The sequence below is a fragment of the Homo sapiens genome, chromosome 11 (assembly GCF_000001405.40).
Source record: "Homo sapiens chromosome 11, GRCh38.p14 Primary Assembly".
In the NCBI taxonomy this organism is placed as follows: domain Eukaryota; kingdom Metazoa; phylum Chordata; class Mammalia; order Primates; family Hominidae; genus Homo; species Homo sapiens.
Window position 1 is genome coordinate 119,855,156 of NC_000011.10, and position 12,886 is coordinate 119,868,041.

Consider the following 12,886-nt stretch of genomic DNA (forward strand, 5'->3'; position numbering starts at 1 on the left):
GTTTCTTTCTAAGGCAGCCTTGCAAATAAGAACAAAACGTACCAGCCTAAAAATAAGTCTTCCTTTGCCCTCCACTGTAGAGCAAGAGGGAGTCAAAACAGTGACATGGGCCTTCTTTGCCTGGTGGAGTTTATGGAAACTTAATAACATGCCAGGGTGTGGGGCTGAGTGCCAGTCCATTCTGCAGCCTTTGAGTTTGATATTGTGGTGGCCAACATAGTGTTTCCAAAACATCCCTTAGGACTCCAGCTAGACATGGGAGAGACCAGGGAAGAGAGGCTAGAGTCTCTTTAAGGTGACACCAGAGTTCCCCGACAGGGAGGTGTCACTCAGGGGTCTCCAGGGACCTCTCCAGGGACAGCAGGCTGGGTGTCAGCTGGGGCAGGAATTCATCAGCTGTAGATCTCAAGAAAACACCTCCATCTGATTGCACTGCCAGTTCATTCATATCCATTTAGTGTCTCCTCAGATCCTGGGATTTATCTTCATTAGGGAGGGAAAGAGACACTTTTTCTGATGAGATCTGAGGGATTCCTTCTTCCTGTCTCTTGTCTCACTTGTCCCTCCCTAAGAAGAGTGAAGAGTCTCTGGACAAAAAAGCTCTCTGGCTTCAGTGTCTCCAGGGCTTTTCCTACATGGAGATAAAGAAACCTTAGAAGAAGCCAAGAACTGTCCAGCCCTTGGCCTGGTGGCTCTGCCTAGGACATTATGAAAACATGAGTGCCCTGTGTCTCAGGGAGGGCAGATCTATTAGCTATCTACTGCCATGTAACAAATCACTCCAAAACGTAGTGCTTACAACTCCAACAGTCATTGGTTATCTCTCACAGTGTCTGGTGCTCTGGGGCAGTGTGGCTGGGGCATTCAACTCAGGGTTTCTCAGGAGGTTGCAGTCAAGATCTTGCTGGGGCTGAAGTTATCTGAAGGCCTGATAGGGGCTGGTAGGTCTACTTCTAAGGTGGTCCATTCATACGGCTGGCAAGTCGGTTCCTCTCATGTGGGCGCTCTGCAGGGCTGCTTGAGTTCCTTCCTAACATGGTAGATGCTTTCCCCAGAGCGAGCAATCCAAGAGGCCAAGGCAGAAGGTGCAGTGCTTTCTATGACCTAGCCTTGGAAGTCACACACCATTACTTGCACTGTATTTTATGGGTCACACAGTCCATCCCTGATCCAATGTGGGAGGGGACTATGCAGGTCTGAATTCCAAGAGGATCAATGAGGGCCATCTTGGAATGTGGGTACCATGGCAAAATGCTTAAGGTAGGGGTGACATCAGGATTGAGGCTTGCCACAGGATTGAGAACTCCAGGGAACAGGGGTAATGGAAAGAGCACCGACCTTAGAGTCTGAGAGACCTGGGATTGAAACTGAGTCACTTACCAGCTGTGTGACTTTGGGCAAATAACCTGATCCCTCTTAGCCTCCACTTCTGTATCTGCTAAAAGGATGTGGTTCCTGAATTATACACCTGCCTGAGGCTTGACTGAGAGTGTTCAACGCATGGTCAGCCTCAAGTGATCACCCCTTCTTTCCAGGGTTCTATCCTCCCCATGCCAAGAAGAACCCCACGAGCTTTTTGGTCACCTGACATCCACCTTCTGGGGCCACTCACCAGGGCCAGGGGATTCACAAAATGTTACTGGCACCTCCCCAGGAAAGCTCCGTGGAGCCCCAGGGCCTGGGGGCAGAGGAGATGTGTCTTCTTCCTCTCCTGGTATGGTCAAAATACCTTAAGATGAACCCCAAATTCTTCCCTCTTTGCCTGTGAAGTGAGCCGCCCACCCCAGGTGATCTCAGGCTCCTTCTCCACCATGCAGCCCTGGTTAATCCATGGAATGCTAATGCCTGCAGAAGCAGCTGCTTACACAGTCCCGGAAGAAGCTGCCAGGCAGTCAGCCCCAAGTGAGGACACTGCAGGCTGCAGGGGTTGCAGGGAGAGAAGAGAGCAAAGGAGGGAGGTGGGAAAGATTGGAGAGGGCAGACTCCAGGCCCCAGGGCCTAAGCTTGTGCCAGGCAGCAGAGGTGGAAGGAAGTCCATGGGCTTTGATTTCAGGGACCCTGTGCTCTAGTCCTTCATTTAGCCCATCCATTCAGTGCCTTGTGCCCCGGGCTCTGCAGAAGGTGCAGAGTTCTGGGCACTGATCATTCACTGATCGTAGCTCCAGGGCGCAGCCACAAATGATGTCATCCTATGGAGAGAGCTGCTGGTTTCTGGCAGACCTCTATATCAGAGCAGCTTGGTGTGTACCCGGAGCCTTGCTCCAGACTCATCCAAGTTCCCGTGGTCCACATCCATGCCTCAGCAAAGTTAGTGCGTGCTAGAACCACTGCAAATTCTGACCTACCTCCTTGGGAGAGTATTTGTAGTGACCCAGAAGACTCCATTCAAGTCTACTTGACATACTTTTCCTGAGTACCTCCCTGGTTAAGACCTAGCCTGTTCTTGCAGAAGCCAGGGATGCAAGTAATTATCATTTTGTATAAAGAATTGTGGGAGCTCAGTGAAGAGAAGATTTAGCTCTGCTCTGAGCTAGTGCAGGCATGGGGCCTGCCAGGGAAGTCATCCCAGAAGGGATGATATTGGAGTTGGTCCTTGAAGGATGAATAGGAGTTTTTCAGGTGAAAAATAGAGTGAGAGGTGGGGAGGAGCACACTAGGCAGGGAGAACAGCATAAACAGAGCCAGGGCCTGGGGGTGTGGAAGGAAATCACTGATAGCCAGTCCTGTGCATCTGCAGTGGGAAGTTTGTGGTTCTAAGAGAGTAGGCTGGGGATGAGGCAGATTGGAGAGAGGCTGCGAAGGACTCTTCCCCAGATGAGCTTTACATCCTTTGTTGGGGGGTCAAGGGGAACCACAGGAAGTGTCTAAGAAGGGGAACGCAGCACAGCCCCAGCTCTGCTTTAGAACACCCGGTATGAGGAGGGCCTGGCTCCAGATATCTTCTCCCCTCCTCCTGCTGTCATTATGTGCCTGTTCTCGGCCACCACCCAAACTCACCCCATCACAGAAGGGCTGATGGAGCTGCACTGCCGAGTTAATACAAAACTCCGGCCCCGGTGCTACACCAGCCCAGGAGGGAGGCAGCCGTAACAAGAGAGGAAATTACAGATAAGAGTGGAGAAATGGCCACAGCAAGATGAAGGGAAGGCAGGCGCCGGCAGAAAACAAACCAAGGTGTCAAGACAGAATCAATAACCATCACTGAGAAGAGGAGAAGATGGGATTCATTACAGAGAGGGTAAAACAGACATTACCCAGCCTGCCCACGAGGCTTGCTGCACATGCGGAAGAACTTTCAACTCGGCAAGTGCTGACGGTGGAAATACTTGACAACACAGCAACTTAGGGGAGAGGCAGGGAGGGAGGGAGACAGAGACGAGGAGGAGCAAGAGAAAGAGACATACGGGGAGTCTGAGAGAGACAGCGAAGCACACAGAGGGAGCTGGGATCAGAGTCAGATGGAGGTGCGGAAACTGGCAAGCACGGGCTTGAGCTGGACTTATTTCGTGCCTGGATTATGAAGCCAGAGGTATAGGGAGACAGGGACCTCTTATTCCACAGGGAACTAGGACAGACCTAAAACTGCTGAAGGCATGGAAGTCAAGGAGGAAGATAAAGGCACAGAGAAAAACAGAGCGGTATATCCAAAGAGAACTCATGTCTTCTTGGTTGAGGGGCCGAGCTGAGCAGGTTGGCTTCAGCCCCATGTATCCTAGAAGGGGAGTGAAAAATCTGACTTCACTTGGTGAAGGACACCAAGTGTGAACTCATGCGAATATGTGCAAAGGAGGGGAGTCCCCCGTCCCAGGTCAGGGTCTCATGGTCCTTCTACCCCATCCATCCTCCCACTTGGGTGGGAAACTCACACTGAGCAAAGTCTTCAGACCACCTGAACTGCAAAGGGAAAGGTGCTGCCAGGTTCCAAAAGGGCTGGATTCTAGGACAGTATCCTCTGCAGCTGGACCAGACAGTGAAGCAGGGTTAGGATGAGGGGGCAGGGACAAGGCTTTTGGGGTAGCATCCAAGATGTAGTAGCAGGTATCCTGACAGGTGGGTAGAATGATAGAGGGGACATCAGGCAGCCTCAGAGGTGGGGGGTCTGGTACTAATGGCAAGATTCTCAGACCTCCCTGGAGAGGGGATCTGAGACTAGCAGGGCAGAGGCCCAGGCCTTAGAAGACCAGGGTTTTGGGAAGGTTAGCAAGACAGGGTCTTGCACACCAGCAGTAATGCAGACACTATGTTATCAGTCCCAGGACTCCCCAGACCAGCACTGGGGACCATGATGGGGTAAGCCAGAACATCAGGGCAGAACAGCTAAGATCTCCCATCCCTAAAACTAGACCTGGGCATAGGACAGAGCCTTCAGATGGGAGAGGAGGGGAGACTGAGAGGTCCCAGCCTTGGGAAGAAGAAGGCTGCAGAGGCCATGACCCAAGCAGGTACAGGGACTTGAGGCACCACCCTGGGGTGCTGAGGCTGGCTGGCTGAGTGCTTGCAGAACTGGGAGCAGGGCAGCTGTGGGTAGGGGTTTGTGCACACTAAAGACGAAGGGATCCAGGAGGCAACTCTGGCTGGAACCCTGTTCCCCCATGCTTCCTGTCCCCAGGAGGTGGCACCTGATATGGCTTGCTGGGAGGAACCTAGAAGCTGCACTTGGTGGCAGTGTTTAAAGCGTGTACCTGTCAGGGCCAATCTGGAGTGTGAGCAAGATGTGAGCTGGGAAAGCATCCAGGCCCTTCCTGGTACACTCACACTGGGAGAGGACGAGGTCCTCAGGCAAGGACTTCTCTGTTCAGTCATGGCTCTCCCAGGCAGGGAGGCCAGGGAGCAATAATGCTACCAGCCAATGGTGACCATGGTACACTTACTGCGTGCCTGTCACTGGGTGCAATGCTTTATATGCTTTATCTTATTTGAGCCACACAAATAATGTTCTGTCCATTTTAAAGAGGAGGAAACAGATTCAGAGAGGTGGTGGAACTGGACCAAGGTCACACAGCTTTGAAATGGTAGAACTAGGATGTGAACCCAGGCAGTTTGGCTCCAAAGCTGGACACTTCACCTCATCATGTTGTCCTTGCCTAAGGGTGACCCCCTAAATTCTTCAGATGTCTCATTCTCAAAAATGTCTGTGGAAGGCTCTTCTGAGCTAGCCTGGTCATATTCCAAGTTCTCCAGGTCTCCAACACCCAGCATATAGCTTCTCCGCATAGGCTCGGGGTGGCAGGCCAGCTTCCCCTCCGTGCTCCAGGTCTCCCCTCTCCTGGGTAGTTCCCATTCCCTGAAAGGAGGCTGTGGGGCTCTATGTGCCCATGAGAGTAAGGGCCAGCTGGAAGCAAACTCAATGAGCCCTGAGTCCCCAACCCATCTCTGTCTCTGTCTTTCCACCTGTGTCCCACCTTTGTGTCCCTCCCACGAGGCCACGCAAGTCCCTTCATCCATCCTTGTCTTGGTCTTTCTCCTTGTGTTCTGGTTCCTCCTTCCTTTTGGTCAATCTTTCTCTGTTTCCCTGTCATTGTCCGCTGTGTCTTTCTTCCACGTTTTGCCCCTGTCTCCCTGTTTTCCTTCTGTGGTTTCTGCATGTCTAGATCTGCCCTGCCTCCTCCCATATGTGGTTTGCACACACCTTGCAGAAAAGCCATGGCTATCTGGGGTGATTTGCCTGGCAGAGCTTCTAGACCCTGGCATATCCTGCAAGCCATGCCCCACTTCTAGACCCTGGCATATCCTGCAAGCCATGGCCAGCGCCCTTCTTATTTCCTGATCTGGGCCCAGAGCTGGTGAAACTGGCAGGGGCAGCCTAGCCAGAGCAGGGGGAGGCAGCAAAGCCATGGACTTGCCAGAGGAGCTTTCAGGGGGGTTAAGGGCTTTTAAAACAGCCCATCAGCATGGAGCCAGCATCCTTGGCCTTTGGAGTGATGGACTGGGAAAGAATGGGGGGTAGTTTAGTTGACAGCATGTTGATACTAACATAAATCTCATTAAAATAATGAATTTGTCAAACATAACCATGTCTGTCCCCTTAACAGTTTAGGGTGCAATGGCTGTGCCCCTTTATGTCCACGTAATAAGGATGCTGAAGCCCAGTCTCCAACCCATGACTGCCCTGAGATGGCAAATCCAGACACACCCTCCCCATCCTGGGCCCCAGGAGGCCCTGGGCCTAACGAGTGTTTGGAGGGGCAGGACCAGACTTGCTGGCACCCAGGGCCCTTGCACTTGCCTGCCCCCTGTCTGGACTGCTCCTCCTGAGATGTCTACATGGCTTGCTCCCTCACCTCCCACAAGTCCTTTGCTGGGATTTTACACTTGCAGCCCGGTGGTCTCTGGAAAGACCATTTAAAATTGCCCCTGACCTGGCCATCCCTCCACTCCCCCTCTGCCGTGCATCTCCCTCCCGTTTAATCAGTCATTGCTGTGTCCTGACACCTGCCTGTAATGGTCATGGGGACAGGGATTTCTGTCTGTCTTACCGTACTCCCAAACCTCCAATGGTATCTGGTACATAGTAGGTGCTCAATACATATTTGTTAAACATTCATTTGCACCTGGGTTGGGAATTTTTGTGTACCACAAGGAGGGTTTTGCAATCTTTATCTGTTTTTAGATATGTTTACTTTTCAGAATTTATCTCCTTTTGTGTTTTTGATTTCTAATTCACACTCAACCTCTTATTCCCACTCTGTACTGTTTAGGATAATATAAATGATAATAAAAAGTGGGAAATAACCTAAATATCCAATAACAGGGATTAGTAGGAAACATACATAGTCTTACAAAACAGAATGTATAATAAGATTCTATTTTTGTAAACTAAATCTGTAGATACATATTTATTTCTCATTATTTGGCAAGATTTTTTTTTTGGAGACATGAGTATGGACATTAATAGCTACCTGGTGAAAAAACAGCTTCTGGATTCATAGAGTTTAGGGAATGGCAAAGTTTAAATGGGTTTCCTAACTGAGGCTCTCTATAGAGCTTTACATGCATTTACAATGAATATTACAATAAATATTCATTACAATGAATACTACAAAGCTCCAAGAAGAGGGTAGAATGTACAGTACTTTTTGAAATTTGACCAGGTGTGTTGCTGCTGTTTGTGTTGTTGTTTTATAGCTCAAGGGACTGAAGTTCTAGAACCTTCTTTGGGAAGTGGTAACACACACATGCTGGGAAGAATGCAGAGGTGCAGGTGCCCAGGTGTTCTCAGTGGCTGTGTCTGAATGGGGGCTTACACTTCTTTATGTTCTTTGTGCTTGTCTGTATTTTCTATAATGTGCATTTTATAAGTTAAAAGCAGCACAGCCGGGCGTGGTGGTTCACGCCTGTAATCCCAGCACTTTGGGAGGCCGAGACGGGCAGATCACGAGGTCAGGAGATCGAGACCATCCTGGCCAACACGGTGAAACCCCATCTGTACTAAAAATACAAAAAAATTAGCTGGACGTGGTGGTGGGCACCTGTAGTCCCAGCTACTCGGGAGGCTGAGGCAGGATAACGGCCTGAACCCAGGAGGCAGAGCTTGCAGTGAGCCAAGATCGCACCACTGCACTCCAGCCTGGGCCACAGAGTGAGACTCTATCTCCAAAAAAAAAAAAAAAAAAAAAAAAGCGCAACCCAAAGACAAAAGTATAAAAAAATTCTGGAATTTTTCAAATTGGGGTCCTCCTCCCTTCTTTTTAAACATTTCTAATTTGTTTTCAACCTGCTCGGCTCAGCTTTCTTGGCAGTGTTTTTATAATTTTTTTTATTTTGAAAATTAGTTGTAAATGAACGTTTCCAACCAACAGCTCATGTTTTCTTTATGACCAGTTCATCATCTTGGCCAAATAGTCATTTCTGGACCAAATCAGAGAGATGGGAGGAGGGACCTGGAGTGGGAGGTAAGAGAGAGAATGGGAATAGATAAGGTAGGAAAAAGACAGGGAGCAAGACAGGGAGAGGCAGAGACCAGAGAGGTGAGACGGAGTGGGAGGAAGAGAGGGAGCGAGGAGGAGAACTCAGAGAGACCAAGAACTCAGAGAGACCTTGGAGCAAATGAGAAGCAGGATGAGGAGGATGGACATTCACCAAACACTCATTCAGCCCTTCCCATGGACCGAACACCAGGTGAATGGGGCCAGGACACTTGCCCTTGCAAAGATTACAGCCAGCGTGGGGGAGAGGGGTAATAAACCATTTCCAAAGAGGTTTTCGTGTTGTAATGCAGGCAGGCCGCGGAGCTCTGGGGCAGCCCTCCAGCATAGCTCAAGGGTGCGGCAGGTCACAATGTGGCTGCAGGAGCCACTCTCTGATCTGCCCTTTTTCCTAGAGGAGAGGAGCTGAGGCCTTGGCTCCTGTGTTTCCACTGGAGAGGCTTTGGGGGTGCCCAAAGGGCAGGAGCTCCCAGGGTGGGGGTGGGGAGGGCTGGGCCCCTTGTCTGTCTGGAAGCTGCGTATGTGTCATATGCATCGTGCATGGGCAACACACACGGTTTTTGCAGAGACTGTTTGTTATAAACTGACAAAAATAGATTGTTTTCTAAGAAACGCTCTTATTCACATGCTTTTCATAAGATTGAAAAATGTCAATTGCCTACACCAGAAAATATATATTATTACTTTGATGTGGCGACTGGTGGAGATTACGCAGGGGCAAAAGCAGCCCCCATCCCTATCCCTGGACACAGCCTGTGTTCGGAATCTGTGCAGTCGTTTCCTGCTGCAAGCCAGGAGCAGGGATGAAAACGGCCTCTGGAGGCCCCTTCCAGCCTGCACGTCCTTTAATCTGCATGATTTGATGGTGGCCAGCGCCCAGCCTGGGCTGCACCCCCGCCAGGCCCCCTGCCTTCCTCCTGCCCTCATCACAGTTTCTGGGCTGCACTCCTGGCGGGAGGATGAGCAGCCTGCGGCTAATCCCCGATTAATATTTCATGCTTCTGATGGAGGGCCTGGGAGGGGAGGATCACTGAGGGCTGAGCGTGGAGGGAGAGCTGGAGAGGTCCGGGAGTTGCTTCGTGTCTGAGGATGAAGGAGGGGCATTGATGAGAATGGGGAACTGCAGCCTCTCCCACAGACCACCCCAGGCCCAGGGAATCTTTAGAGGCCATAAGGCAGCAGCTGCTCCTGCTCAGCACCTGTGGGCGGAAGAGAGCAGGATAAGCAAGGGAGCCACTTTCAGCCCTGCTCAGCACCTAACACCACCACCTCCCCCAGGAGCCCCACCCACCAGCTCTTACTGACCTTCGGAGTTTACAGTCCAGACGGAAAGGCAGGTGTTAAACAAATGCACGGAGCAATAAATACAAATGTGGCAGGGACCTTGCTCTGAGGAAGTGGAGCATGTCATAGAAGAGCCAGGTGAGAAGGGGAGGGCTCAAGCTCCCCGGGGAGGGGCAAGCCTGTGCACAGGCCTGAGATGAAGCACGTGGCTTAGGGTCCAGGCTCTGGAACCAGACTTCTGTCTTCAAATCCTGGCTGCATCATCCCCCATGACCTTGGCCAAGTTCCTTTTCCATACCCTCATGCCTCGGCTTCCCCCTCTCTCAAAAGATCATAATCGTGTCTACTTCACTGCATTATCAGTTAGGAGTAAATGCTCTCATGCAGGTAAAGCGCCTGGACTGGTACTCAACACATAATAGGTTCTCAGTAAATGTCAACCAGTAGTACTGTTACTGATATTATTTTACCTGCCAGGAGGAAAATGTTTGTGAGCCTAAGAAGAGGACCTGCCCCCTGAAAAACTGGGCTGGAGATACCTGCTCCTTCTCCCCTGCCTGGTTCTCATGGCCCCTTCCTGCTTCGGGTGGACCATCAACTGCACATGGCCCAGGGGCACCAGGGAGGATGCGTTGGAAAAGGGACAAGGGCACAGCGCCCACCCTCCCATCCTGCCCGGAGGAGCCCCGGCCGGCAGCTTGTGACAGATGGCAGTGCTTTGAATGACTACTTCAATTTTAACTCTTTTCGATAATCCAGCACCCAAAAGCCACATACTTTAAAACTGTCCCTGGATCATAGATCAGCCCAAAGAGACCAAGTCCAACTCAGTTAATAACCTCTGGAAACACCATCAATCACTGGGAGAGCCTCTCCTTAGGGCTCTCCATACCAACTCCTGGCAGAGATGAATGAATGGGCCACTGTGCTTGGCAGTGGCTCTGCCTCTTGGGCTATTTGCATCTCACCTTCTTGCGCTAGAACTTGGACTTTTTGGAGCTGACCCCAGGGTGGAGACAGGAGTCAGGCCGCTGGGCAGGAGCAACTGAGTGACTGTCGCTTGGAGAGAGGAGGCTGATGTCTCTCCCTGTCCTGCTCAAGGGAACCCCTCCCCTTCTTCCTGATCTCTCATGGCCTTGGTGGTCTCTGTGGCCTCAGGTGGGCTGGCCACAACCCCAGATGGCCTCAGCCTCTCCTGCGGGAGCCCCTTTAAGAGTCTGCCCCCTGGGGAGCCGTCACACAGGAGTCATATGGAGAACACAGTGTGCTTGAGCAATACCTGCTTCTCGTTGGGTGGGAGCTGCCACAGGCCGACAGCCATGCTTTGGACAATTTTGTTCCACAGAGGCTGGGCCCTCCCCTGGAAGCTGGCTGACCAGGGACTGCATCCTCTCTGATGGCGACACCCTGAGGCCTATGAGTTCCTCCTTCTGCTGGCTCTCATACCCAGCCCTGCTGCCTGCCACTTAAGTACCCTGCCCACACACCCAGCCTCCTAGTCTGTCACCTCCTGCTTCTCCCTTCAGTCCTCCCTGCACACCCTGCCAGAGGCCTCCCTGAAGCCTGATCACATCACTCCTGCACCTAAATCCAAGTTTCCTGGCCTGGTGTTCAATTCCAAACTAACCCTGCCAGGGACACTGTCCCTGTTATTTACTCCTCAGCCCAAACTCTTGGCTCAGGCCCAATGAATCATTCCTCCTTCACCCACCCCACCTTGTGCATTTCAGCACATGGTTACTCATAACATGCATGAAGCCTCCTCTCTGTCCTCTCTCCACCTATTAAAATTCTACCCATTCTGGTTTTTTTTTTTTTTTTTTTTTTTTTGAGACGGAGTCTCGCTCTGTCATCAGGCTGGAGTGCAGTGGTGCGATCTCAGCTCACTGCAACCTCCGCCTCCCGGGTTCAAGCGATTCTCCTGTCTCAGCCTGCCGAGTAGCTGGGACTACAGGCACGTGCCACCATGCCCAGCTAATTTTTTGTATTTTTAGTAGAGGTGGGGTTTCACCATGTGGGCCAGGATGGTCTCAATCTCTTGACCTCATGATCCACCCACCTCAGCCTCCCAAAGTGCTGGGATTACAGATGTGAGCCACCGCGCCCGGCCTAAAATCCTACCCATTCTGTAAGTCCCAGTTGAAGTCTCACCTCCTCCATGAAGTCCTCCTTGACCACTCCAGTCCCTACTTCTGGAACTAATGGCATGCACTGTCACTAATATAGCCCTAGGCACTGGGCATTGGCAACTTTGTATTGCTAGGTTCATGCTTGACTTGGAAGCCCTGCCTTATATGTCTTTGAACCCTGCACAGACATTCTTTTCTTTGTATCTCCCACCCCAGACCTATCTTCACATGTCCAGGTATTTCCCAGGCTTCAAAGCTGCCTCCTTTGGAATCCATGCTCTTGGGAGGGTGATGGAACCAGATGAACAGCTCAAGAGGCAGGAACCATGCTGTCCTCTTCACTCCTGTGTTCTTAGTGCCTCACACCCAGCCTTTTGTTCAGAGAGCAGATGAAAGTTACTGGCTGGATTGGATTGCTTTAGACTTCATCTTCACCTCTTCAGTGGCATGTGTTGCTCTCTGCCTTATGTTATAAATGATATTCTCACACTCATCCTATAACCTACTCAACATCTTGTTTCCCCAGCAACATCTATCAAGGTACCTTGCTGCAAATGCCAAACACTTGGATGAAAGCCTGGATGAAGTCTCCTCCAGCTACCCTGGGAAGTGCTCTCTGGCCTATGGTAACCTACAGGTGGAACTTGAGGTGTGATGTGCCACCTGGGCTTGGTAAACAGCCCCTCCTTATGTGTATATACCACATTTTCTATATCCACACATGCAGGTGGACATTTAGACTGCTTCCTCATCTTGGCTATTGTGAATAACATTGCAGTGGAATATTACTCAGCCACAAAAAAGAAGGCAATCTTTTCACATTCAACAAAATAAATGAACCTTGAGATCATTATGCTGAGTGAAACAAACCAATAACAGAAAGACAAATACTTCATGATCTCACTTATATGAGGCATCTAAAGCAGTTAAACCCACAGAAGCAGAATGTGGAGTGGTGGTTACCAGGACCTGGGAGGAGGGGGAAATGGAGAGTTACTATTCAAGGAGAATTGATGTTCATAGAGTCAGTCATGCAAGATGAGAGAGTTCCAGAGACGTAGATCATTGTGCTTAGTGTTAATGATAATGTATTGTACACATAAAATTTTGGTGAAGAGGGCAGATTTCATGTTATGTGTGTTTTTCATAATAAAATAGTTTCTAAAGGAATTAAAACTATCCCACACTATACCCCTCTGGCCCCAGGATTCTTCTTCCCTTAGTTCTTTCTGCCCAGAACCACCTGAAGACTGGCAGCTGAGTGTTCTGAAAAAAGCTCTAAGCTTGGGGGAGGGAGATCCAGGTTTCTTGACTGTACTTCTTATTGACTGTGTGATGCGTGCAAAATACTTAAACTCCTTTCTCCACGTTTCCTTATCTTTGAAAATGGAGCACATAGAAATACCAGTCTTGGCTACCCTGCAGAGTTTCTGGGAAAATCTAATGAGCTCATGTTTGAGGAAGCGCATTGTGAATAATAAAACACGATACAGGTTGCTATTATTATTCCAGCGAAGTTTCTGGCCAGATGGAGGCAGGGGGGTCAGA

The 12,886-nt window shown here is 50.4% G+C and overlaps 1 long non-coding RNA gene across 2 annotated transcripts in view; it reads left to right on the forward strand.

Annotated features, from left to right (window-relative positions):
• LOC124902771 (uncharacterized) overlaps positions 1-12,529 on the forward strand; it is a 34,803-nt gene extending 22,274 nt beyond the window's left edge. For both annotated transcript variants that reach the window (XR_007062920.1, XR_007062921.1), the window contains exon 2: positions 11,865-12,529. This is a non-coding gene — a long non-coding RNA (uncharacterized LOC124902771). The remainder of the gene's footprint in view (positions 1-11,864) is intronic.
• Positions 12,530-12,886: the final 357 nt, after the last annotated feature.